The following is a 26,515-nucleotide window of genomic DNA, read 5'->3' as shown; positions in this document are numbered from 1 at the left end:
TTCCTGTGATCACAGGAATGTTTTTCCCTTTCCCTTTCTATTTGTTCTTCCGTAAATCACTAGAATGATTCTAATAAAGGTTAATGAGTAAAAAATTGTCCTGATAATGTCAAGGAAAGGGAAATGTGTCCCTAGTACACAAATATAGACATAGCACAGTGCTAATGCTGTATGACTGGGGAAGGTCACCAAGTAGTGTAATTTTCTATTTTTAACCAGCACCATATATATACACGTTATAAACTTTTCTTAGAGGTGTTTTTTTTTTCCACAATAAAAATAAAAAACTAAACTAAAACTAAAGAGCCCATACCATTAGCCTCTAAACCCTTGAAAATTCTCTCAACTTCCCTTTAAAACATTCTCAAAAGTCTATGTCTTCTACCTCCACTAATTAAATATAAGGTTTCTCAAGTGCAAACATTCATGAACTTTAGAACTTATTTTTAAGTTAGTTATGTTGTTTTTCTAGGTTTTAGAAATTACTGCTAGTTTGGAAAATGGTTCTCAATGAACCTTGGAATGCAAGAATAGGAACTGAGTCAGAATGTTCCATTGTCAATGACGGTCCAATTGTGACAAAGAGCATGGCTTTTGGAGTGATTCTGAGCTATGTTTGAATCCTGACTCCAGCATTTACTGGCTGTGTGACTTTGGTAATGTATCTTCTTGGAAATTCAGTTGTTTCATTTTTAAGTGAAGATAATAATACCTTATCTCATAAGATTATTGAAAAAAGGAAATGAGATAATCAAGGATGGTGCAGGTGTCTGAACTACTCTCAGTAGAGTGGCTGGTGTCAGAAGAGAACAGCTTCTGTACGTATGTTGTCCAAGAAACAACGTTTAGAAACAGACCACATGAATGAACTGCTATGGCTGTCCACATACAGCAAAATTAATAAAATGCTGCTAAGGAAGACTATTCAAGAGAATGTCTCCATAATTCATCTTACTGACTGGTGTTTGAATGAAGAGATTTTCTGATGTCTTGGACCAGTCCAGAGTCACTCCCATGTTATGTGTCTCAGTTTATTTTCTGGCACAATGTGGCTTAAAGTTATCATACTAACTTCTAAGTGGATGTCCCTTCCTCTGAAGCTGGTAAAAACTGCAACTGGCTGCAGAGCATAAATTTAGAGGAGGCTGAGTCACAGGACAGTGGGCATGCAATGATTAAGCAGTCAAATCCTGAATTACTACTGCCAATAGGGGCTATACAGGAGAAGGCACCATGCTTGTCTTACTGTCCAAGGGGAATTCTTTTTTTTTTTTTTTTTTTGAGACAGGGTCTCACTTTGTTGTCCAGGCTGAAATATAGTGGTGCAATTACAGCTTAATGCAGCCTCAACGTCCCTGGCTCAAGTGATCCTCTGGGCTCAGCCTCTCCAGTAGCTGGGACCACAGGTGTGTCCCACCATGCCCAACTAAGTTTTTTTTATTTGTAGAGACAGGGTCTTGCTATGTTGCTCAGGCTGGTCTTGAACTCTTGGGCTCAAGCTATCCTCATGCCTCTTCCTCCCAATGTGCTGGGATTACAGGTGTGAGCCACTGTACCCTGTGGGATTCTTTTAAATAATGAGTGAATCTGGAAGTTCTACTTCCTGCCCAAAGGAGTAGAGCTTTAGGCCTCACATGATCCACGTGCAAGCTAACCACAGAACAGATGGCAAAACAGAGCTGCAGACTTGGAGCTATGGGGCTTCCAGAATGGAGAGGCAGTATTTTTGCATGACAAGATGGAGGGCTTCTAATTCACCAGAATTGTGAGATGGGGCTGAGAAGGACAGGCTGGCCCGATGGGCTGTGGAATGAGGCATTAAATTTCCTGAGAACCTCTTGTGACAGGCTTTTGCCTTGGGAATCAGAGGGTGGGGGAGGCAGGGGAGCCAGAGGGAGAAATGGTGGGTGGATTCGCTGAACCCAGTGTCAACCCTCTGATGCTCCGCTACCAAAAATTCAATGAAATCCTTGCCCACAATGAACTGCTCTTAGAGGAGAGAGAATGAAGCTTCATGTCTAGGTTTGGTGAGTGATGGGCATGAGAAGGCTGCCTGGATTCACTAAGAGAAGCAGACTCAAGAGGAAGCAAGATTCAGAAATGAGAGTGAGGCTTCCAGACATCCAAGGCTAGGGAGCTGGAGTTCAGACAGCTTCCCTAAGTCTCTGGGAGGCTCCAGTGACAGGTTACATTTAGATAAAAAGAAAGTAGGCAGAGGGATTTGGGCAGAGAACGACTTAGGAAAGCAATGCTGACAGAGCCTGAGAATTACTCTGCAAAAAATGTAACAGGTTGCCAGGGCATGGTGGCTCACGCCCGTAATCCCAGCACTTTGGGAGGCAGAGGTGGGCGGATCACCTGAGGTCAGGAGTTTGAGACCAGCCTGGACAACAAGGCAAAATCCTCTGTCTGCGAAAAATACAAAAATTAGTTGGGTGTGGTGTGTGCCTGTGGTCCTAGTTACTCTGGGAGGCTGAGGTTGGAGGATGGCTTGAGCCTAGAACTTGAGGCTGCAGTGAGCCATGATCATACCACTGCACTCCAGCCTGGGTGACAGAGTGAGACCTTGTTTCAAAAACAACAACAACAACAACAACAAAGAGATATAAGGGATCATGTAAATAAACTATGGTCCATATGTAACACGGAATATTTTGTAGGAGATTTTAAAAATGAGGTAGGTGTAGGGTTACTGGAATCTTTCACTTTTCTGTGTAAATACATATTTATGTTGTGAGTTTTTATCATCAAGCATGTATTATTATTTTATAATCAGAAGAAACAAAGAATAAAGTTGACTTTTTGAAAGGATCCTGTTGCTTAGTATTTGTATATATCTATGGTTCTGTCCAATGAGGGTTCAGTCATTCGAAATCAATCGTTTGGCTGCATTTGTCAAGTTCCAAAGCTACCTACAGGGTTAGATTAGGAATTACCGAACTCGGGGGCCTGAGTGGTCAGGTCATGCAAATGTCTTTCACAAGACCTCCTGCAGCGGGGAGCTGCCTGTTTCCTAGAAAACTCTCATGCGGTTTCAGGCCCTCACCCTTTAGGGAGGTTTGGGGCTACAGGGCAGCCGAGGCTTGAAGCCACCGCTGTGGTTCTTTGCGCCAGCTTAAAGCCAGCTGTGATGAGGGCCTGTTGCCTCCACAAATCATCATGGGCATCTGAGGGCTTCAGGGAGATTTGCTGCAGCGGAGGGCTGCTGAGGGCACCGGGCTCAGGGGCAACAGGAAAAAAAAAGGGCAAGTCACGCGACGTTCCCTGAAGCCTCCTCAGCATTTAGTCATTAAAAAAGGGGTAAGTAGAATGAGATCCTGTGTCTATCAGGGAATTTTAACAGCTAGAGAGACTGAGATAGCACTTTGTGGGTTAGGGTTAGGGTTATTTTAGGGTTGATATTAGGATTATTTGATTCTTCAGATTCCACCTCTGCACCGAGTTTTGCTACCAGAAAGCAAAATACCTGGATAAAATTTTCCCAGTTCTGTCTTCATCCCACTCCCAGCTTCACAGAGTAATGATATAATAATATTATTATTAACTTTTCCTCAACAGAAGCTCTAGTTGCTATACGTGCTAAGTATTTTTAAAACTGGTTGTAGCTATTCTTTCCTGCATCACTTAGGGGAGTATAGTGGTTTAAGTGCCAACTTCGTCCAAATCCACCAGGGAATAAATTTGAACGTCATCACTCTTAGGAATGTGTCCTTAGCCAAGTTAATTTCACCTCTCTGGGTTTCTGTTTTGACATCTGCAAAACTGAGTAAAGGATATGAATTTCACTTATTGTGAGAATTAACACATGTAGCTACTAATATTTTTATATACATATCTTTGTAATGGATTCCAGGAAAAACTGTATCTGCAGGTGAATTTTTAAACCTTATGTGTTAAGACCACAAAACTAATCTTTTTCTTTGTTGTTATTGTCATTAAACAGTGATATTAAATATCTAAACACTTTAAAATATTTGCTTCAGGAAGCTGAGATCATCTATTCTTTCTGCCTCTCTTAGTAGGGATAATCCTATGCATTGGTATTCTTAAAAGTCCCATCTTTTACTTTTATTGATACACACACACACATATACACACACTACATATGCACATATATATGGAATAATAATTATTTCTTCACTTCAAGAAAAGTTGGAAAGTGCAAAAATTATTTTTTTAAAAAAGGAGAGAAATAATAATTATCATAGCAGAAGTAACCACTGTTAAGATTTAGTCATGTTTTCTTCCAGCCATTAATACAGAGCCCATCAAAAGCAAGTGATTCTGGAACATCATGTTATGGATCCTGGCCCACAGAGTGTCTAGTCCTTCTCTTTCCTCTAGAGTGTCATGACTAGAGAGAGTGTCACGACTTGAGAGAGTGTCACCCTGAATTGCAGTAGGGGACCCTCCTTCCTCTGCAAAGATCTGTTAGCCAAGAGCTGTTAAGCAGAGCTGAATTTTAATACTAGATATAAGAATTCTTAATTCTTAGGAATAGGAGGAAGAAAAATTATGAAGGACAGAGAGGCAAGGAGTCCCAGGTAGCCACCAGAGTTGTCAGGAAAAAGACTTTCTACATGTTTTGGTTTAAGGAGTACCAGGCTCCTGTGTTGGCCAAAGTGGACCCCTTGCCAGTCAGACTCACTTTAGGGCCCAGAACTCAGCCACAGAGTACAGGGGTGACGTGGACAGGGAAGTGGATATCTGAGTTTGAGCTCAGGCTATTCCCTTTTCTATAAAGTGAATGATCACTGGGTCAGAATGATCTCCAAGTCCTATTCTTGCTCTTAAATCACAGCTTTGTCATTTTCACTGAGAGGCTATGGCTTCATCTTTAAAATTAATAGATGACACTAGGATAGGTGATACTTTAGGCCACGTACTTAGGGGTCAGTGAGTTTGACAACAGGCTTTTCCAGGGCATGGAGGTCACACTAGGTGGCACTAGAATATCTGACTGGGGTGGGGTGGAGCCGATTGGGAGAGGGGTGAAGACACAGTCAATGAGAGACTTGAGGAAACATTTAATCAATGTTCTTTTATTTCTAGGATAATTCTGCAATGAGTACTAGAAGGATGGTTCTCTTTCCATTATCTGTAGTGCTAGCATAGTGCCTGGCACAAAGTAAGCCCTCAATAGATACTTTTATTTATTTATGTATTTATTTATTTTGAGATGGAGTCTCACTCTGTCACCCAGGCTGGAATGCAGTGGCGCTATCTCGGCTCACTGCAACTTCCGCCTCCCTGGTTCGAGCAATTCTCCTGCCTCAGCCTCTTAAGTAGCTGGGATTACGGGCATACGCCACCATGCCCGGCTAATTTTTGTGTTTTTAGTAGAGATGGGGTTTCACCATGTTGGCCAGGCTGGTCTTGAACTCCTGACCTCAAGTGATCCGCCCGCCTTGGCCTCCCAAAGTGCTGGGATTACAAGCATGAGCCACCGCACACAGCCTAATAGATACTTTTAAATGAATGAATGAATGAGGCAGGCTGGAGTAGACGAGAGGACGCGTACATATCTAGGCAAAGAAAAGAGCAGAGGATGCTCCTTTGAGGCCCCCTGTGCCAAGGCACTGGGGGAGAAAGCTCAAAGCCCTGTGAGTGACTAGTGCAGTCCCCACCAGCTGGTGTGGACCCCCACCTCAGGAAGGACCCTCCCTCCCCACAGCCCCACTGTGGTAGAAATCCCAAGGCAACGTGGAGGCTCTTTAAAGTTGCCTTCAACTAAGCACCATTCTCTAGGTCCTGGTTCAAAGTTCACCTAAGAAACATTCTTTTATTTATTTATTTACTTATTTATTTATTGGAGACGGAGTCTCGCTCTGTCACCCAAGCTGGAGTGCAGTGGCGCGATCTCGGCTCACTGCAAGCTCCACCTCCCGGGTTCACGCCATTCTCCCGCCTCAGCCTCCCGAGTAGCTGGGACTACAGGCGCCCGCCACCACGCCCAGCTAATTTTTTGTATTTTTAGTAGAGATGGGGTTTCACCGTGTTAGCCAGGATGGTCTCGATCTCTGACCTTGTGATCCGCCCACCTCGGCCTCCCAAAGTGCTGGGATTACAGGCGTGAGCCACCGCACCTGGCCAGAAACATTCTTTAAAACAACTGAGATATTGCGCAGCTGAATGTCTAGTTACCTTGAAACTGGCTGAGTAAGGTCAAGTGTTCTCAAAGGCAGACGGCCATTCCTTCTTCACAGAAATGATGACCATTTCCTGCCCTTTGGTGTTTTCATCATTTACCCAAGAAAACCTCCGATTGTGACTGTGGAACCCACTGGAAAGTCTTCTCTCTAAGGCAGACCAGACTGGCTCAAACACCGCGTTTGTTTCAGTGCCACCGGGCTCTGCTGCTAAGAAAGCATCGCCCACAGCCATCTGGGGTGCACCAGCCCCCCTGCAATGCAGATTCTCAGCTTGGGTTTGTGTCTCTCTGAACCTGCGGCGGTGCAAGTGCAGTTACTTTAATTTCATAGAAAGTGTTTAAAGGGGATATACACTGTAGCATTTAGCATTCTGATTCAGGACTAATGGAGGTTATGCAGTGAGTTTTAGTTTTTTCCTACACAGTGGTGCTTACTACATACCAGGCCCTGTTCTGAGCACTTTGTAGTTACTTAAATTTCACAGAAAATGTTTAAATGGTATATACACTATAGCATTTAGAATTCTGATCCAGGACTAATGGAGGTTGGGCAGTGAGTTTTAGTTATACAGTGGTGCTTACTACATACCAGGCCCTGTTCTAAGCACTTTGCATTTATTAACTGACTTAATCTCAAGACAACCTTGGGCACTAATACTCTTAAATGCCTTGTTATTCCCCATCCCATTTTAAGAGATTATTATTATAACCCCATTTTACATGCCCAGTCTGTAGCATAGTGAAGCTAAATGGCCTGCCCCAAATTCCACAGCTGTTAAGGTGCAAAGCCGAGGAACTGATCTGAGGTGGAGAAAAGTGCACTTTGAAGCCTAAAGTCTTAAAAAGGAAACTAATGGCTCAGATAGATGCCAGATTTATTAATAAGTAGTAAATAATGGAAAATAAACTTGTCCTATTGAGCTGGCAGAGAGACAGTTGAACCCAGGCAGTCTGGTGGCAGAGATCACCCTCTTAGCTGCTACATTGCACTACCTCTTTACATATAAGGCAATGTGAAGGCTAAAACAAAGACATCCTGTGCAACTGATTGGGAACACACAAGCATCCTGAGTTTGGGGACTGTTATATAGTCCTTTGTACCCCCTCAGTGCTGAGCAACCATTGGATACTCTACAATACATATAGATTGATGATAATTTTCTCCAAATATTTATATATATGCATGCAAACAATGCTGGCTCCACTGGGCCTTAGCCACAGTGACACTTAATGGCACACAAAGCAATCATTACTAAAGACTCATAGGTATTACTAGAAGCCAATACATAATGTTTGAAGATTTTGTCATCATTGGCCATAAATTAATTTTTTATTCATAAACTAATTTTTTATTCATGTTTTCCTGATTACCAAAATAACATATATTCATCAGAAAAATTCAAATATACAAAAGATTACTAAAATATACAAACCATTCAAACATTAAAGTGAAACATGCATAACATTAGAACAATGATTCAAAACAAAGTAATTGAGAATCCCAACATTTGACAGGCTTTGAAAGGACTTAACTTTAAGAAGTCTCTCTCCCTTTTTAAGGGTTAATTTGCAGGGTTTTAAGGGTTAATTTGCAGGGGAGGGGAGGATCTCGCCTGATAGCCAGGTATATATAATAACTTTTTTATATTTATTTATTTATTTATTTATTTACTTCTTAGAGACGGAGTCTTGCTCTTTCACCTAGGCTGGAGTGCAATGGCGTGATCTCGGCTCACTGCAAGCTCCGCCTCCCGGGTTCATGCCATTCTCCTGCCTCAGCCTCCAGAGTAGCTGGGACTACAGGCGCCCACCACCACGCCCGGCTAATTTTTTGTATTTTTTAGTAGAGATGGGGTTTCACCATGTTAGCCAGGATGGTCTCGATCTCCTGACCTAGTGATCTGCCCTCCTTGGCTTCCCAAAGTGCTGGGATTACAGGTGTGAGCCACCACGCCCGGCCTATAATAACTTTTAAGTTATCTGTAAATGTCTCTTAGAAGAGAAATCTACTGACATCTCTGTATAAGAAGGTGAGAAAGTGCATTGTTTCTTAGGCGTGAACTAAATTTATATAAAGGCGCAGGTAAGGGAGTGGCTTTAATGTTAGGCCAGAGTGGGAACCAGCTGGACCTGAAAGTATACGTCTAATCCCAACTATCTGCATTTTGAGATGAAATATGAGGGTAGGTTTCCTGTTTTCAGGATCTTTTCTTTCTTCTCTAGTCATATTTTCTCCTCAAATCATGTCCCATGGAAGGATCCAGCCAGCTCAATAAAAGCTATCTGGTCCTGCGGTAACTGGCACAGTGGACGTAGCACTGGACGTCTCATCAAAGACGGTGGGAGCTGTCTGGCTTTACCACTTAGTAACTGGGGAGCAGCTTCAACTCATGGTATACCTCCACTTGCTCGTTCATCTATGAACCTAGTGCTACTGCCCTGTCTCTTTCACGGGGTCGTCAGGAGACTATGATGAAGTCAAGAATATGAGAAAGCTTTGTAACCTCTTCCTGCAATGCATGCAGGTTAGAGGGTGAGGTACTAATTCCTCACAGCTTGAATGTTTGCCTTGATTGGGAAGGATTGATCTGAGGTGGAGAAAAGTGCACTTTGAAGCCTAATGTCTTAAAAAGGAAACTAATGGCTCAGACAAATGCCAGATTTATTAATACGCCATAAATAATGGAAAATGAACCTGACTTACTGAGCCGGCAGAGGGAAATTTGGGTTTCAGATCCTCCCTACTCCATCTCTCCTTGAAAGACAGAAAGGAAAGAAGGAAGGAATAAAAGAAGGAAGGAAGGAAGAAAGGAAGGAAAGAATGAAGGATGGAAGGAAGGAATTGTACCATGAAGAATAGCATAATTTGAAAGGAGAACATAACTTGGGGACAAAGGCACTCAGTGAGAAAATATTTGTCCAATTTCTCTTGCTAGCCTGAGCTTCTCTAAGGTGGGACTAGATCTTACTCATCTTTGTAGGCCCTACTCCTTGTAAAGCATGTGTCACATCTTAGAAACTATTTAAGATGAACCATATGGCATTGCCATTTTTGTAGATAAAAAACAGCCTAACATTGGCAATGCCGTATCAGTCAACCTAATAAGTGTTAGCTAAAGATACAAGAGACCTAAGGGTCATATTCATTTAGCCACAGCCTTAACCCCTGTTCCCTCATAACACCTTCCTACCTCCAGCACCAGCTCAGAGAGGTGGGACTTCTCTTTCACTGCCTGTTAAGAGTCATGCCTCTCTTTGAAGGCTGCCCTTGGTGTTCCTCGAACCTGAAATTTTCTGAATGTTAAGCGTGTTCTGTATCAGTCTCTCTCTCTTACAGGCTCCATACTGCTAAAGAAAGGGCATCATTAAGACCCATATTTAAATTCCCATTTCATTTGATACACATCATAGGCTCCAGTAAACAAAATGGGTGTCCTACACTAGGATGTCAAACAGACTTTTTCTTTCCCTTTTTCCTCTTCCCCTTCCCTCCTTTCTCCCCCTTCCCTTCCTCTCTCATCTTCCTTCCTCTTTTTCTTTCTCCCTCCCTCCTTTCCTCTTTCCTCCCTTCCTTCCCTCCTTTCCCCTCCCCTCCCCTCCCTCCCTCCCTCGCTCCCTCCCTCCTTCCTTCCTTCCTTCTTTCTTTCCTTCCCTCCTTCCTTCCAAGACAGGGAAACATTTTTTCCTGTTCTGTGCATGGAGCCTGAGAGAAACCACAGGCTTTTAGGCTGGAGAGGAGACACAGCTGGATGAATTGGGCTGTGCATCCTCCCTACAGCTCTCATGATGCTAAGCACTGGACAGAGGCCATGTGGATTGGGATGTATGTGAATCTAGTGGATTTCAAGTTGAGGTCATGAATTTCCATTTCTCCTTCCATATATTTGTTTCTTTTGTTTATTTGTTGTCTGAAAAATGAGGTTTGGCAGTGTTGAGCTCTGTGATAAAATTGCATAGCATTCATTCTGTAAACAGCCATCTTTGCATCATATCATGTCATTGACATGAAGAGTAGTATTGCAAACACTGTTTTTTTATTACAATAACTCTATACAGAAGCCTTGAAAGGCATGATTTTGTAAAATATATCTGGCTATTAGCTTCTCTTTGCTACAAAACAAGCAACAGGAGAGAAAGGGGCCTGGTGGAGGCAGAGTGACAACCGCGTGGACACACTGGAAATCAGGCTCAGTCCAAGGACAGGCATTTTTGTCTCCTTTGTTCCCTGCTGCATCCTAGGGCCTAGAGCAGAGCTGGGAATGAAGTATGATGAGAGAACAGGTTAAAGCTGACAGAATGACTATGACACTTGGATCTCTTGCATCTGTATCTAGAACTGATAAGATACATATTAGGTAGATTGAGAAATAGCTGTTGAAAGGATGAAGAGTCACTGCAATTCAACAATTAAGTAGATGTTCTCATAATTCCGTAACTAATCAGCTCACGAGGCATATATCCCCTCCAAGACTGTTTCCTCATTTCTGAAACAGGGATTATTGTGCCTGTTTGGCAGGATTATTGAGAGGATTAGATGAAAAGTGATGTAAATGTTAGTGCCTTTTCTTTCCATGCTCTTCTAGTTTCCTTAAAATAATCTGTGTGTATGTGAGAGTGTGTGTGTGAGTGTGTGTGTGTATGCACATGTGTGCCTGTGTGTGTGTGTGTGTGTGTGTGTGTGTGTGTGTGTGAATGTGTTTGTCTGTAGAGGGTGAGGGAGGCTAGAAGAAACAAATTGTTTGGGTCCTGTTGTTCAGGGTTTCTCAACCTGCCCACGATGCCACTTTAGGCTGGATAATTCTTGGTCGTGAAGGGCTGTCCTAAGCAGTAGAAGAATCCCTGCCTTTCACCCACTAGATGCCATTTACATCCCCAGTTGTGACAACCAAACATGTCTCTAGATATTGCCAAATGTTCCCTGGGAGACAAAATTGTTCCCTGTTAAGAACAACTGCTGTTAGCTGTAATCATCCATTGAGTAATTAAATATTTCACTGATAAACAAGTTGATCAGGTACTATGAAGACATCGCCTGTGGCTATATTATGTTTAAATGTATATAAAGTGAGGGCTTATAGAGGGAAAAAAAGCTGATATCAAATTATACAGTCAACTCATAATGATCCATGAAGCAAGTAATGATGTAGATAATAAAAGAAGTTATTTCAGGCACACAATTTCCCTGCATTAGATTGCTTTTCTAATTGTGGTTGGTTTTGGATAAAAATATTAATAGTAATCAATTTATTGAACACCCTCTGACAGATGACAGGGAAAGATGGCAAGTGTGCATGGAGAGAAGTCATTTGGGTTTCTTAAATTTTTATGGACACTCATAAAGTAGGTGCATTAACCACAGGTGATCAAACTGCATTGTCCATTAGCAAGCTTAAAAAGTAATAGCAACATTCATACTTACAAGTGAATTAATGACTTTAGTCCCCGGAAAGTATGTCTTGAAATTGACTTGATGTTGTTGTTTTCTATGAATCTGCAATAAGTTATAATATTTTTTGTCAAACAGTTACAGGAACTTGAGAGTACTTGTCCTGAATCATCATGTTTTAAAAAAGCTTTTTTACTTACAAATACTCTAGATGTGGAAGACCAATAAAAGCATCATCACTGATCACATCAAAGGAGTTCGATGTGAATAACCTGCCCAGAAAAAGTACACAATGAAAATGGTGAAACTGACAGATTGTCAATCTTGGCTGCTTTTATCTCTCAGAAAAATGAGTGGGAGTTGTATACAGAAAAATGTCTGCATGGCTGTCTGCTACAGTGTTAGTTATGCAGATAATCTATGCAGCATTTTTTTACTCCTAATCATCTCCTCATCAAAGGCTCATCAAGGGGTGCCTGGTGCCCGATTCCTCACAATGACTGCCACATACCCTGGGTGACATTTTGAGATACAATCAGAGCAGCTATGATAGCCAAAGCAGCCAAAGCAACATTTTACATATTTTCATGACAAAGGCACTAACAATCTTTTCTGCTTGTTCTAGAAACCTCTGGAGTGTTCTAACTGGCAAAAACAATGGTACTTTGCGGTTTTGAGCCTGGGAAACCTAAAAAAAAGTAAGCTGCATGCCTGGTTGTGCTGTGACATCTCGTAACAGACAGGCAGTTGACACTGGCTCCATGAACAACAGCCAACCTCCTCCTTTGCACACAGACTGAAAATGGGAAACATGAGGTTTGGGAAGAGTCTTAGACCCATTTTATTACCAAATAGTTGAAGCTTTTACTTGGACAAATATATTTGCAATTTCAAAATCCACAAGGATTTGGTTTAGAAATTACTGATGAAAAAGAACATCAATCAGCCATCCCACACCCTGTTGAACTCCTTGGAGAACTGAATGAGAGGCTTAAAAGAGGTAGTTTTAGGCCAAACAGTACAAGAATATATTATATTATGTCATAATGTAATAATAATAATAGTAATTCTGTTAGTAAAGCTTATCACTTTTACTTCTGAAGCCAGGGATTAAATATAAGTACCACTAACTAGCTTAGTGAATTCACCGCTGAACCTGTGAACTACAGGAATTAAAACTAGGAGATCTCACTTTGTGAACATTTATGAGTAATTTATTTGTCATCTGGGATTGCTTCAAATAATCAGAGGAGGGGGACAACAAGGGGTTAGAGAAGAATTGGCATGAGTTGATGATTTTTGAAGCTGAAAGATGGATACATAAGAGTGAATTTTACTATTTTGTCTACATTTATATATACTTAAAATTTTTCATAAAAATGTGGAGAATGGGGGGTAGGAATGAACCAACCAAACAAAATGAGATGATTTCTTGCATTTCTTCCTAAACTATCAATCCTAGAGTGGTGTTGGATTGTCTTCTAATCCCTCATGCCTCTAATGTCATGGATTTGTACCCAAGTAATTCACGAGGCTCTGAAAAGCCAGTACTAATGAACAGTGACACATGTTAGAATTCCATGTTACTAAAACAAATTCAAAGCTGTATGATTTCCATCACAGCTTTGGCAATTGTGTCTCTTCTCACTTCATGGCTCTGGAAAACAAGAAGACTGCTCAGCTTGACTCCAAGGTAAGCTAACACCCAAAGGCTTCCTTAGGTTCCAGACTTTCATTGCATTCAGTATAGGCAGCATCAGCAGTGGAGAGAATGGAATAAGGAAGAAATTGGTACACACAAATATTATACCTCCCACACTCACTGATTTGAAAAATGGCCCAAGGACCAGGGACTTCTCATATTCCAAGTTGCCAGAAGAAATAGTTTCCATTGCTACTTCCCTTTATGTTAAATCAGATGCAGGACATAGTGGGAAATGAATATTAGTGGGCAGAACTTGCCCATGCACGTCACGGGAAGAAAAGAGAGGATTTCTGCTAGATTTTTTGTCTGCTTGTTCATTTCTTATCCCTAGCACCTGTGATACAGCGCCTGTCCTCTAGTGGACACTGAATAAATATTTGTTGGACAAAGAGGAATTCACCTTACACTAAATTCTGATCATTACGAGACTACTGGATTAAATATTTCTTACAGCAGGAATTTGCCCTTATTTGTTTTGGTGTCCCCAGCCCCGGGCACAGTTCCTGGCTGAATAATGTTTGTTGAACTACATTTCAAGGACTAAAACCTCTGGTGAGAACTACAAATGCATATGCAAAACTAAGGATGAATATTCAAGGAAAGGAGCCAAAACACAATAAAGTACATCCTATATGACTGTACTTATATAAAGTACAAAAACTAATCTATGCTGCTAGAATCAGGAGAGTGGTTACCCTTGGAGGCAAGGAGTAATTGGAAGAGAACACAAGGGGCATCTTTTGGGGTAATGATAATATTGAGTTTCTTGACCTGGGTGCTGGTTACAAGGGTATTCACTTTGTAAAAAGTCATTGAGATGTACATTTATAACGTGCACTTTTTCTTTATGTATATTATACTTCAATTTAAAAGTTTCTTATAAAAGCTAAAAAAACACCCTCTGGCTAAGATAATAATGAATACCATAATCTCTCAATGCTAAATTCAATTGTAGTTTCTATGGAAAAAGATGTATAAAATTATACATACATTCTAAAGATAGTTGAGTGGGCTATCCATTTTATTATCCTACGTATACTTAAAAAGACTCCTACATCATATTCTATACAGAGGATGAAACTCTGACCCTTAATTTGTATGGATTCCTCTAAATATGTTTGATTTCATTATTATAATTTGTTATTGAACCAGATATGTTAAAGTATTCCACAGTCTCTGTTAAGGGAAACCGTGCCCAACCCACCCCACCTACACAAAAAACAGAACTGGGGCAGACCAGGGTGGCCGTGTTCTACACTGCACAACCTCTGTCCCTTTCCACAGAGTAGCCAGTCTCTAAATCAACCAGCATCCCATGGCCCAAGTAGCCTGGTTTAAAAAGGTGAGTTGGGCTAAGACGACACCCTTCTTGGGGATCTGGAATTGGCAGACTGAGAAATGGAGCCAGCCGGTAGAGAAGCTAAAGGATAAAGGATGCCTTAGGGTTGAATTGGATCCATGGTAGGTAAAATTACGTGCAAAGAATGCTTAGGAGAGTGTAGAATTGTGGTGGAAAACCCACCAAGATAAGTTTTTTGAAGACTGGTGTGGGAGAGATACCTAGATCTGTGTTGAAACCTGAGCCAATGCTTCTGAATCCTGCTTGCTCTTGGAATCACCCAGACAGCTTTAAAAATACTGATACTTGGTTCCCACTCCTGGAGATTCTGGTTAAATTCTAAACGTGGGGTGTCACCTGGGTTACTAAAAAGCTCCCTAGGAGACTCATATGCAGCCAGGGTTGCACATGGTAAGCTTGCCAAGTCAGTCAAAACACTGTCCCCTTTACCTGTGGTGACCAAGGGGTCTCTGCTCCTTGCAGCAAGTCTGCCTGGAGCCGTTGGTGTGGGGAGTGGAGGAGCTGTGGACTTTCTTGTCCCTATAACTACGTGTAGCCTAGAGTCTGCAATAATATGAGTTGGAAGTGACAACTATCCTCACAACAGCAGCAGCATCATGGAGGGGTTTATGAAACCAATGTACCATCCAAATGACCTCGTTACTCTGAGCCACAGATCAGAGATCTGGACCCTGTAGGCCTGCCAAGCAGCCAGCCCGTGGGTTTGTGCAGAGGTTGTGCGGAATTTGCCCTCTGCCCCAGTTCCATGGGAACACTTGAGGTTTCTCCTCTTTTTTTAGGGAAGCATTTTCCTAAGAAGCCAGGCATTTTCCCCTAGAATTTTGGTGGAGGTGGACACAGGGGTGTGCCTGATCTGTCTACACCCTCCCCAAAGGGCTGTGCACTTATTAATTCAGTAAGAAAAGGGGCTGTGGGAGGAGAGGGGAGGCTTTTTTCTTCTGCAACCACGGGAGTATGTTTCCTTACCAAGAGGGAGATTTAGAAAAATCATTTATATGAACTATGAATTCCAGGCAGGTACTAGCTTATTCTTTGAATAATGATCTTTGGCTTCATAATAGCCTACATGTCATAGACTCCTGCCTGGATTTTCTTATTTGGTCTTTAGACAATTCTGTGAAAGTAGTAAAGCAGGTAAGATCTATTTGACAGAAGAGGAAACTGAGGCCCAGAAGGCTACCAAACACTTTCCTTGAGGTCGCAAGGCCCAAGACCCCTGGTTCAGTACCCTTTTCCACACACTGGGTGGCCTCTCAGCACAGGTCCCAGGTCACATAATGGCATAATAACCACGTTCTGGCGAGCAGCCATAATAACACCACTCAGCTCATACGGATTTAAGAAATGTAATTAAACAATAATGCCTTTCTTAGAGGAATTAATTAGAGTAAGCAGTCTTAAAATCACATCCAGATAATATCAATCTGTGTTTTTCAAGTAGAAAGTTTGAAAATTTTGAACACGCTTTGTGAGGTTTTTCCAGTTTTTTTTTTTTTGTTTCTTTTTTTGACAAAGTCTCGCTCTGTCACACAGGCTGGAGTGCAGTGGCGCGATCTTGGCTTACTGCAACCTCCGCCTCCCTGGCTCCAGCAATCCTCCCACCTCAACTTCCCAAGTAGCTGGGACCACGGGAGCGCAACACCAAGCCTGGCTAATTTTTGTATTTTTTTTTTTATAGAGATGGAGTTTCACCATGCTGCCCAGGCTGGTCTTGAACTCCTGGACTCAAGTGGTCCAACCGCCTCGGCCTCCCAAAGTGCTGAGATTACAGGCATGAGCCACCGTACCCAGCCTTGAATACACTTTGGTGAATTCTGTTTATAAATAATATATGCTCATTGTGGAAATTCTGGAAAACACAAAAGCTTAAAGAAGAAAATGAAGTGCACCATAATCATACTACCCAAAGACACTGATATGCATAAGCATAATGCATATATGATATATACACATATGTATTTATAAAATTGATGTAATATTATATCATTGTGTATCCTTCTTTTCATTTGCTTATTATATCATGAACAATTTCTCATGACAATCAATTTTTCAAAAATATAGTTTCCATAGATGAGTAAGTTTTGTATTATGGATATATCATGATGTAACTTTTTAAATTATCGATTCCAATGTTTACTATTATAAACATGATTATAACCATCCTTATATATAAATATTTTTCCTATCTCTACTTATTTCCTTATGATAGACTTAGGATAGATTTCTAAAAGTACCATTATTAGATTATAGAAGGTTTTTAAATCTCTAGTTCTTTACTGCTGACTTGTACCAAATTACATGTCCAACTCTGAGTAAGGAAATGCCTATCTGACCATATCCTCACCAACATTTAAAATTATCATTTTTATTTCTCTATGAAATCATGTCCTTTGACCCCTTTTGTTGCTTTCTAAGCACTTTTTATTTATTAAGGATATTACTTCATCTTTTCCTATTTCTTTTGATGCTAAAAGTTTTTTCCTACTGATTACCAATTTGCCTTTTCATTAATGATTTTTAACATATAGAAGTTTAAATTTGTATTTAACAAAATACATCAACTCCTATTATGTATTATTTCTTTGCGTTTAATCTTTTTTTTTTTTTTTTGAAACAAAGTTTCACTCTTGTTGCCCAGGCTGGAGTGCCATGGCACGATCTCGGCTCACCACCACCTCCGCCTCCCGGGTTCAAGAGATTCTCCTGCCTCAGCCTTCTGAGTAGCCGGGATTACAGGCATGTGCCACTGTGCCGGCTAATTTTTGTATTTTTAGTAGACACGGGGTTTCACCATGTTGGTCAGGCTGGTCTCGAACTCCCGACCTCACGTGATCCACCCTCCTCGGCCTCCCAAGTGCTGGGATTACAGGCATGAGCCAGCGCGCCTGGCCTGCCTTTAATCCTTTTTTAAAAAAATTATAAATTTAGGGGGTGCAAGTGTAGTTTTGTTACATGGATATATTGTGTAGTGGTGAAGTCTGGGCTTTTGGTGTAACCGTCACCCGAATAGTGTGCAATGCACTCGTTAAGTATTGCATCATCCCTCCCTTCCTCCTACACCCCCACCCTTCTCAGTCTCCCATGTCTATCATTCCACACTTTATGTCCATGAGTACATATTATTTAGCCCCCACTTATAAGTGAAAACATGCGGTATTTGACTTTCTGAGTTATTTTACTCAAGATAATGGCCTCCAACCCATCCATGTTGCTGCAAAAGACATGATTTCATTCTTTAAATATCCTTTCCTGTCTTGAGATCAAGGAAATATTGCCTACATCTTCCCCTTAACATTTTCTTTTTAATATTTAACTCTTCAATACATTTGGGACTTACTTTTATGTATGATGTGAGGTAAGACACAGCCTTGATATTTTCTAAATATTTACCCAAATTTACCCAAGGCTTTCTGTTGAATAATTAACAGAATTAACAGAATCTCCCCTATTTGAGTATGTGATATCCTTCAAATGTCTGGCACATTTTTTTTTGGCATTTTCCAAGGATCAAATCTTCGATTTATTTTTTTATTCCCACTGTTTTCTAATTTATTATTTTATCTTTTCTTTATTGCTTTTCTCCTGATTTCCTTAGGATACTTATTAAGTTTAGTGCTCAATAATATACTTTTATTCTTTCTGATTAAAAAATGAAAGTATTTAGAAATGGAACTTTACTTTGTGTAATGCATCCAGTAAGTTTTGCTCTGTACTCATCTTTTAAAATTGCGTATTTGATTTCAATGGGAATTTAGAATAATATTCTTAAAATTGCCTGTAATTGTTTTTTTTAAAAAAAAGCTTTCATAATTTCATTATTAATATTGCTCTGGGATCAGAGGATGTGACCTGTAAAATGCTAACATTAAGCTCTAATTCCTCCAGATTCTGCTGTCTGTAGGGACGGGTCATGACTAAGTGACACTTTCACACCAAGGTCATAAAGCTATTAGGGGGTTCCTGGTTGAACGGAGAGGTAGGACACACAGAATTTACTTCAAAAGGAACGGAAAAGTAGGCAACAGGGTTAACATGGAGCTCAGAGTTCAGAGGGAACCAGGGCCAGCAACAGAGAAGTAAATGAAGAAGCAGAGGATCTAAGAATGAGGATATAGCTACAAGGGGTCAAGGGTAAGGCTGCCCAAATACCGGGTGAGAGGCCAGAGACGGGAATGCATAAGAGCGAAAGGACTGGGCAGGCTCATGTGTTGGTGCTAAGTCTGGTGGGCCACTGAGGTGCTTTCCTGCCCTGGGGCCTCGCCTCTTCAGAGGCCAGGGAAGCAGCACACTGAAGAGTGAATCAGGAAGCCTAATATAAATTTGACCATACCTTCTGTGTCCTAGAGCATACCACTTTTCTCTATGTTGTAAAGCGAGGAGACTAGACTAGATCATTTGTGAGGTCTTTTGTAGCTCTAAAGATGTGTGAGTCTATGCTTATAGCACTGTAGCCTTCATTCATGAAAGAGTAGGCATGTGGAATCTGGGGAGCGGGGAGGCTGGTCTGCAGATGGCTGAATGGTTGGGGGAAGGGTGACTCCTGCTAAGAAAACTTCCCATTGTCTCAAACTAGACTGCTCATTTGGTCCCGTGCCAGGCACCCTGGCTCTAATGACATGTACTTCTTCAGACTCTCTCCAGTCACCTATAATATCTTGATTGCCATTAGAATTGTATCTGGCCCATGAGTGGCCTACATCCCATGTTTCAGCCTAGAGCAGATTTTCCTGGCTATGGAGGGGAGATGATCTAGGAGGCTCTTCCAGATGATTCCCAACTCCACAAAAACCACTCTGATTAAGAAGGGAAAAGTGAGTAGCCAGTGCCTGGTTGTCACTTGGAGAATGAATTGATTGGATTCAGAATAGAGAATCAGGTTTCTAAGCTTGTAACTGCCAGTTATTATTGTATGTTTACACATCAAGTAGGTAAATCTGTTTCATCATCTGTTAAAATAGGATTGAGGATGCAAAAAGACTTCCTGGATGATTTTAAGAATTATGTGAGATAATGTGTATGAGCATGTCTCCAATGCTTCTGCCAAGGAATAGCTAAGTAAAGAGCACAGACATCAAATGTCAGAGCTGGAAGAGCTCTTACTTAGATCTAGGAAAAGAACACGTGTTTAACTGCTAAGGAAACTCAGGTCCCGTGAGGATGTCACCTGCCCCAAGAAGACTTTGATGGACATCTAGGATATTAGGTAGGACACGGACAGTGTGTACAAACATGAGTGTGCACACTCCCAAGTGAACATGGGTTTATTTGCATATGTATATGTATATGTAAATGAAAGAGCACAGGATGCACAGGTTATAGCTGTTGGAAGATATGGAGGGACAGCTGGAGGGGCTTGCCAAATTGCTTAGAGCTGGCTTTGCTTAAATGATCCAAACCCTTTGGTTTTTACTAACACTCTCCTTTATCCAAAAGAATAGGGCTGGTTAAATGATAATTAATAATAGGCTGATGATTCACTTTAGTTAAATGCACACATTATAAGTGCATGTGCCATGTGAATAATTCACATTTGAATATTTAAAAATATGCTCCTAACACAGAAAAGCATTAAAATTGGAAGCATCACACACAAGTACATTATTTGACAGTTCTTTTTGACTCTCAACCTTGAAAATTCAGCTGATCCTTAATTAGATTACCAACTCTTCAACCTGGATTGATTGGAATAACCTTAATTTGGTTCCACACTAATCTGAGGGTTGGGGGTACTCCAGAGAGATACGTAGTCCAACTCCTCTTTTTACAGATGAGGAGACTGAGGCTGGCAGAGGTTAAGTGACTTAACCAAGGTCACATCTTTTGTCAGTGGTGGGGCTAGGATTTAGGATGTGGATTTCAGATTTGCAGGGATGTCCTTGACATGCACACTAGCAAACATTCGAGCATGGACCCTCTCCTTTTGGAGTGGTAACCCCCTTTTGGTAATCCTCAATCCTCCTGGGATTATCTCTCATCCCAGAGCAGTGGAAACTCTTCCTTTCTAGGAATTGGCACAGCTAGTCAGCAGCCCACCCTCCCCATGTGTTTATAAAATCACCCTGGATCTCCCCAGTCCTGGAACATCAAGGAGAAGGGTCTACTCCATGCCAGGCCTCATCTTCAACAGCTTGACATCTGATTTTAATCCTCAAATGAATACTAAGATGTAGGTTTTATATTCTCCACGTAAGAGATAAAGAAAACCGAGGTGAGGGAGGTGAAGTGATTTGAAGCTTGTAAGTGGCAGAGCTGGGATTCCAGGCTCAGGCTTCCTCTCTCCCTCCCCGACTTCCCCAGGACTGGTGAGTGGCCATGAGGAAGCCAGCTCCCTCTTTTTAGTATCAGCTCTGCCTAGTATCTGCTGCAAACCTGCAACAGTCTTGCCCAGAATTTCCCAGAGTGTATTCCCTGGAACGCACGATCTTCAAAGGGTTGAGAGGTTTATGTACACAAAAACTGGCAGATACATTTAGGAAAAGTGGGTTAAAGAAGTTAATCAGGGTTCTTAACTGTGCCTTTTCTATCCTTAAGTAAATTGAGACTCTTCAAAATGGAATTAAATATACAGTTTCCTGGTCTCATTGACAATGCGACTCTTTTATCATTGAGCTTCCTACAAAATGAATATTCCATGGAACATACCCAGGGAAATGCTTGTTTAGCCATTTAGAAAATAGCTGTGATGAAATCTGCTCCAAATAAAAACAGTGACAGTGTATATTTACACACTCAGAAGCCTTTTCCTGTTGAATGAGCTGCAAGAAGTCATCTCCTTCCTCCCAAAGATGGAGATCTACTGGGAGGTCCCTAAAGAAGGGGTGTGTGCTAAATTGCTTGACCAGGTAGAGAGCCTACTGAGGAGCCTGACTCCCAGAGGTCACATCAACGAATCCACACTAACAAAATGGTCTTGAGTTGCTCCTTATATGGAGACAGACCGTTTAATGTATCCACTAGGATGAGATTCTTTCCACCTGCGTATCCTTTGCTATCCAACCTCTCTAGAATGAGGTGGGGTACAAATAGTTAAGCTAAAAATAAGATGAATTATCACATGCATATATTTCCAAAGTACTGTATGTTCCATAGAACCAATATTCTATGGGATGTTAAGAAAAGTGAAACAATTTTGAATAATTTCAGAGATGTTTCTATGCCAAGGTAACTTCATTGTAAATAACCAAGCAGGGATAGAACGTGCAGTTTCCCAAATTTATTTGAGCACAGAACTCTTCTTTCAGGTCAACTGCTCCACAGGACACAAGTTTAGACAACAGTAGTCTAAGGTGTAACTTTAAAGTAAATAAGGCCTTTTTCTTTTGCTTTTTTCTTTTCTTTCTCTCTATTTTTGTTTAAGCAAGGAGATCAGAGCTTACACATATAAATGAGAGTTGCAACCTAGGGAAACTAGCTGCTCTTGCCAGCAATGCGGCCACTCTTTCAAAGGGCTTTTGAAACTCCTTTCAGTCATTGTCTCCAGGAATTAGGGCACATTCTCCTGAAAACTCTTGTTAATGGCAAAGGTTGACCCTTTGAGAGGGGATTTGATTTTGGGAACAAAACTATGCAAAGTGAAGCATGATGATTCATGTTCAGGAGGAAGTAGACAGAAGTGGTTAAAAGTGAGGACATGGGTTTAAACTCCAACTCTGCTACTTAATAGGGGCGTGACATTGAGGAGGTTATCTTTTAGGACTCAGCGCTTCATTTGCAAAATGGAGATAATTATATCTACCTCAAAAGGTTACCATGATGATGACATTAAAAATGAGATCTATAGGCCGGGCGTGGTGGCTCACGCCTGTAATCCCAGCACTTCGGGAGGCCGAGGCGGGAGGATCACGAGGTCAGTAAATCGAGACCATCCTGGCTAACACGGTGAAACCCCGTCTCTACTAAAAAAATACAAAAAAATTAGCCGGGCGTGGTGGCGGGCGCCTGTAGTCCCAGCTACTCGGGAGGCTGAGGCAGGAGAATGGCGTGAACCCGGGAGGCGGAGCTTGCAGTGAGCCGAGATCGCGCCACTGCACTCCAGCCTGGGGGACAGAGCGAGACTCCGTCTCAAAAAAAAAAGAGATCTATAAAATGCTTAGCACCAAGCAATACAAAAATAACTAATGTCTCTAATAAAACCTTGCCTGGTTTTATTGCGTGGCTTGTAAACTGGCAATGAAGACAATTCTCAAAGGAGGGTCCAGAAATCTTTAGCCATGGAAGCACAGTTGGGCAAAATCTATGGCCCTCTGTGAAGTCAAGAGTTATTTGTATGTATACATTCTAGTTTGTATTTTTAAAGATTTATTGCCTTTTGATCACATTTTACACATGCAAGCACCTGCCATCTTGCTATATAAAAATGGGCCTAACAATTTTTTTCCAATCCTTGCTCCATGAGAGGGATACTGAAACATCATTTTATCATCAACCACCACAGGGAGAGCCTGGTAAGGTCCCTTTGGACCTGTTTGGGAGATTGGGAACTACAATTATTGTATTAATAACCTTATAACAGCCAGTTTCATATTATGAGTTTCTTTCAATGAACAACCTAATGTATTGGTTTGTTAGAACTGATTCAATAATCTTTGTCCATTTCTTTTTTTTTTTTTTTTTTTTGAGACGGAGGCTTACTCTGTCGCCCAGGCTGGAGTGCAGTGGCGCGATCTCGGCTCACTGCAAGCTCCGCCTCCTGGGTTCACGCCATTCTCCTGCCTCAGCCTCCCGAGTAGCTGGGACTACAGGCGCCCGCCACCACGCATGGCTAATTTTGTGTATTTTTAGTAGAGACGGGGTTTCACCGTATTAGCCAGGATGTTCTCCATCTCCTGACCTCGTGATCTACCCTCCTCGGCCTCCCAAAGTGCTGGGATTACAGGCGTGAGCCACCGCGCCAAGCCATCGTTGTCCATTTCTTTAACCATGCCATTTCTATATTATATTAACGTAACTGTTTGTAGAATACAACAGAATTTTAAGATAGGAGGAGACCTTAGATGTAATTGAATGCAAGGGTCTCAAAATGCCAACTTATATTTGTTTGGTCTTTATCCTGTTTAAAAATCTACTTCCAGAATTCCACCTTCCCCTAAAAATGAGGAAGATAGGGCTCCATGTGCATGTACCACAATCCCATCAGCAATAGTCAGTTGGAGCAGAGGATTTTTAGGTAAGACATGTCTTCTCTGGTTTACCTCAGTCACCACTACTCCTTATTGTCTTATACTCAACTGCTTCCTTCATTGGTCTTACCGCCCCAAACCCCACTAGCATTTGAGTTTCAGAACCACAGTTTAATCTACCTCTAATATTTTATGCAATAAAAGCTGAGGTCCAGTGATATTTTGTGACCTACCCAAACTATTAGGTAGTTTTGTGACCTACCCAAACTATTGGATCACGCAGCCCAATAGTGGCCAAACTGAGTTTCAAACCCATGTTTCCTGATTTCTAGTTTAGGCCTCTTTCTATGCTACCATAGAACCACTCATCTGAAGACTGCCAATATTAATTATTTAAACAAAATCTGGCATGTTTTACAAAACGTGGTGCCAGTCATTTTATTCATGAGGAAGAAAGGAGAGGGTTATGACTTTTTTTTGAAAGGTAAATAGTTCATGTTTCCTGTAAGAAGTATTTAAAGAAAAGATTTCTCAGCAAGTTCTGCTGGGGAACTGTGTGTAGAACCACAAAATGTTTAAAGCTGAGATTATCGGCAAACCCAGATTATACAATCAGACACTAATCTGATGTTATGGTAGTTCCAATTAAAGTGATTTTCAGATACTGTAATAAAGCTAATGTGTATTGAGTTACAGGAACCTTGCAAAGCATTTTTCATGCATTGTTTTACTTAATCCTTACTGTAATTCTGTGCAATAGGTACTACGGTTCTTCCTCATTTTGTAGATATAGATATCAAGACTTGATTAAGCTTGCCCCAAATCATACAACTAGGAAGAAGCAGAGTGGGGATTTGAACCCATGCTTATCTGCCCACAAGTCTGTGTTGTCTGCCTCATTGCCAGCTCACCAGGGTCAGCTGTTTTGATATTACAGCTGATGCTGTAAAGCCCTTGCAGACATTCTGTAGCCCGTATTAGCCACAGGATCAACAACCAGCAAGCATCACCATCATCACTAATCAACTGAATCTCATTTTGAACAAAATGAGAATGCTTATCAAGACTACCTTATAATACATTTAAGGAGGCCAGGCACATACCCATAATCCCAGCACTTTGGAAGGGTGAGGTGGGAGGATTGTTTGAGGCCAGGAGTTCGAGACCAGCGTGGGCAACATAGCAAGACCTCATCTCTACTTACATAAAAATAATTTTTTAAATGAAACTAATGCATTCAAATACAGGCAAAGTATAATTTACCATATCAAGAATCACTACCAGCTTGGAGCTGCCATATCAGGGTGAAAAGTGACAGCGTGTCACTCATCTTTGTGTCCTTCACAAAGCCCAACATTGTACCTGCTACCCAGTAGAGCCTCAAAACATGTCTGCTAAAATGGGAGGCTTTTGTTTTCATTTTGTTGCTGCTTGCAACTATACAATAAATAAATACTTATTTTGGCTAAGCAGTACTTAAATCAAAAAGGAAATTATCTTTGTGTTATTGATTTTTCTTTTCATATTAATAATGCTTAACTAACATTTCCCTCTGGATGTCCGGTCAGGCTGGATAAAGGAGCATCTTACCCTTCCCAGGACAGACTAGTCGGCCTCTGCAGTCTGACTAAAAACCAAGGAGACCAAATGTGAAGTCAGCGTGGGACACAAGAGATTCGAGCGGTGGGTCTAAGGAAAGGCTTAGATGCTTTGCCTTTGAAATCTGGTATGCTGGAAATCTCTGCTGAGGAAGTTTGAATTCACAACTTCATGAGCAAATATCTCCTCGAGTTTTTTTAGTTCGGCTCACTTCCCAGACCTCCACACTATTAGTCCACGTGAATTCAGATAGGGTGCACCAAACATCAGAAAGAGTGTGAACATGACCAGCATTATCTGCTGAGAGTAACACAGGAGTCTTCAGCACAAAATCGATGGAAACATAAACTGGATTCAACAAATACATGGGAAAACATGTCTGGGTTTTTCTCTGGGACCACAGTTTATTGGTGATCCTCCATGAAAGACACAAGGCAGATACAAGCACCATAACTCTAGCAAATGGCACACAGTGCCAGACATCAGTAAAGTCTAGAGAATTTGAGAATCAACAGAGGTCATAGAATGAGATCCTGCAGAACTTGTTTGGGCACGTGTGTGTGTGTGTGTCTGTGTGTGTGTGTGTGTCTGTGTGTGTAGAGTCAATGATGTGAGTGATAACCTTGGACAAATAGAAAGGGCCAAACACTATGGATGCCAGCTCAGGTGTCTGGACTTTCTCTGTTTCTAGGGAGTCATGAAAGCACGGAGAGCTGTGTCTCAGGAAAGGCAGCGCTAATGGAGATGGGTCAGATGGGAACTGAAAGCAGACAGTGAGGCGTGGAGGCTCCTGCCACAGCCTGTGAAACAGTGAATGAAATGCAGCCTCAGTGAAAGCAGTGGTGCTGTGGTGAAGAGGAGGAGGCAGATTCTCATGCTGTCGGACAGGATGCTTGTCCAGGTGGAAGTGGAGAGTGAAAGAGAGGGGTCAGGTAACTCTGAAGTTTCTTGCCTGAATAACTGAAAGGATGAAATACACTTTCAGAGAAAACAATTGTGGTGAGTGCTAGTTTGTGCAGTTACGAGAATTAATTCACTTCAAGTAACAAACCTGTACATGGACCCTCGAATCTAAAATAAAATTTAAAATTATTTTTAAGAAAGTAAAAACAAAAAAGAAGTAATTAATTAAAAAGTTAAAGATTAGATCTATGGATCATTGGGCAAACTGTAGACAAAACAGCCTAGATGACTG

The 26,515-nt window shown here is 41.4% G+C and overlaps 1 protein-coding gene and 1 long non-coding RNA gene across 8 annotated transcripts in view; one reads left to right on the top strand and one right to left on the bottom strand.

Annotated features, from left to right (window-relative positions):
• The window catches only part of LGI1 (leucine rich glioma inactivated 1), a 40,224-nt gene that overhangs the window by 8,972 nt on the left and 4,737 nt on the right, over positions 1-26,515 (bottom strand). For 3 of the 6 annotated variants that reach the window (XM_017016911.3, NM_005097.4, NM_001308275.2), the window contains exons 3-4: positions 11,738-11,809; positions 11,571-11,642 (exon numbers count right to left, since the gene is read on the bottom strand). The exons of the other annotated variants lie outside the window; for them this stretch is intronic. In XM_017016911.3, coding sequence (XP_016872400.1) covers positions 11,571-11,642; positions 11,738-11,809 — 144 coding nt within the window. The remainder of the gene's footprint in view (positions 1-11,570; positions 11,643-11,737; positions 11,810-26,515) is intronic. 6 annotated transcript variants of the gene reach the window in all.
• Positions 580-26,098, top strand: LOC105378437 (uncharacterized). 2 transcript variants are annotated; one of them, XR_001747552.2, is made up of 6 exons: positions 580-656; positions 12,163-12,235; positions 13,161-13,230; positions 23,674-23,768; positions 25,290-25,404; positions 26,012-26,098. It is a non-coding gene; the product is annotated as an uncharacterized LOC105378437 (long non-coding RNA). The 2 variants fall into 2 exon arrangements; XR_007062251.1 differs by lacking the exons at positions 23,674-23,768; positions 25,290-25,404; positions 26,012-26,098 and adding an exon at positions 16,281-22,845.

Source organism: Homo sapiens, chromosome 10 (genome assembly GCF_000001405.40).
Source record: "Homo sapiens chromosome 10, GRCh38.p14 Primary Assembly".
NCBI lineage: Eukaryota > Metazoa > Chordata > Mammalia > Primates > Hominidae > Homo > Homo sapiens.
Note: the sequence above shows the minus strand (reverse complement) of the source record. Positions and strands in the feature narration are given on the sequence as shown.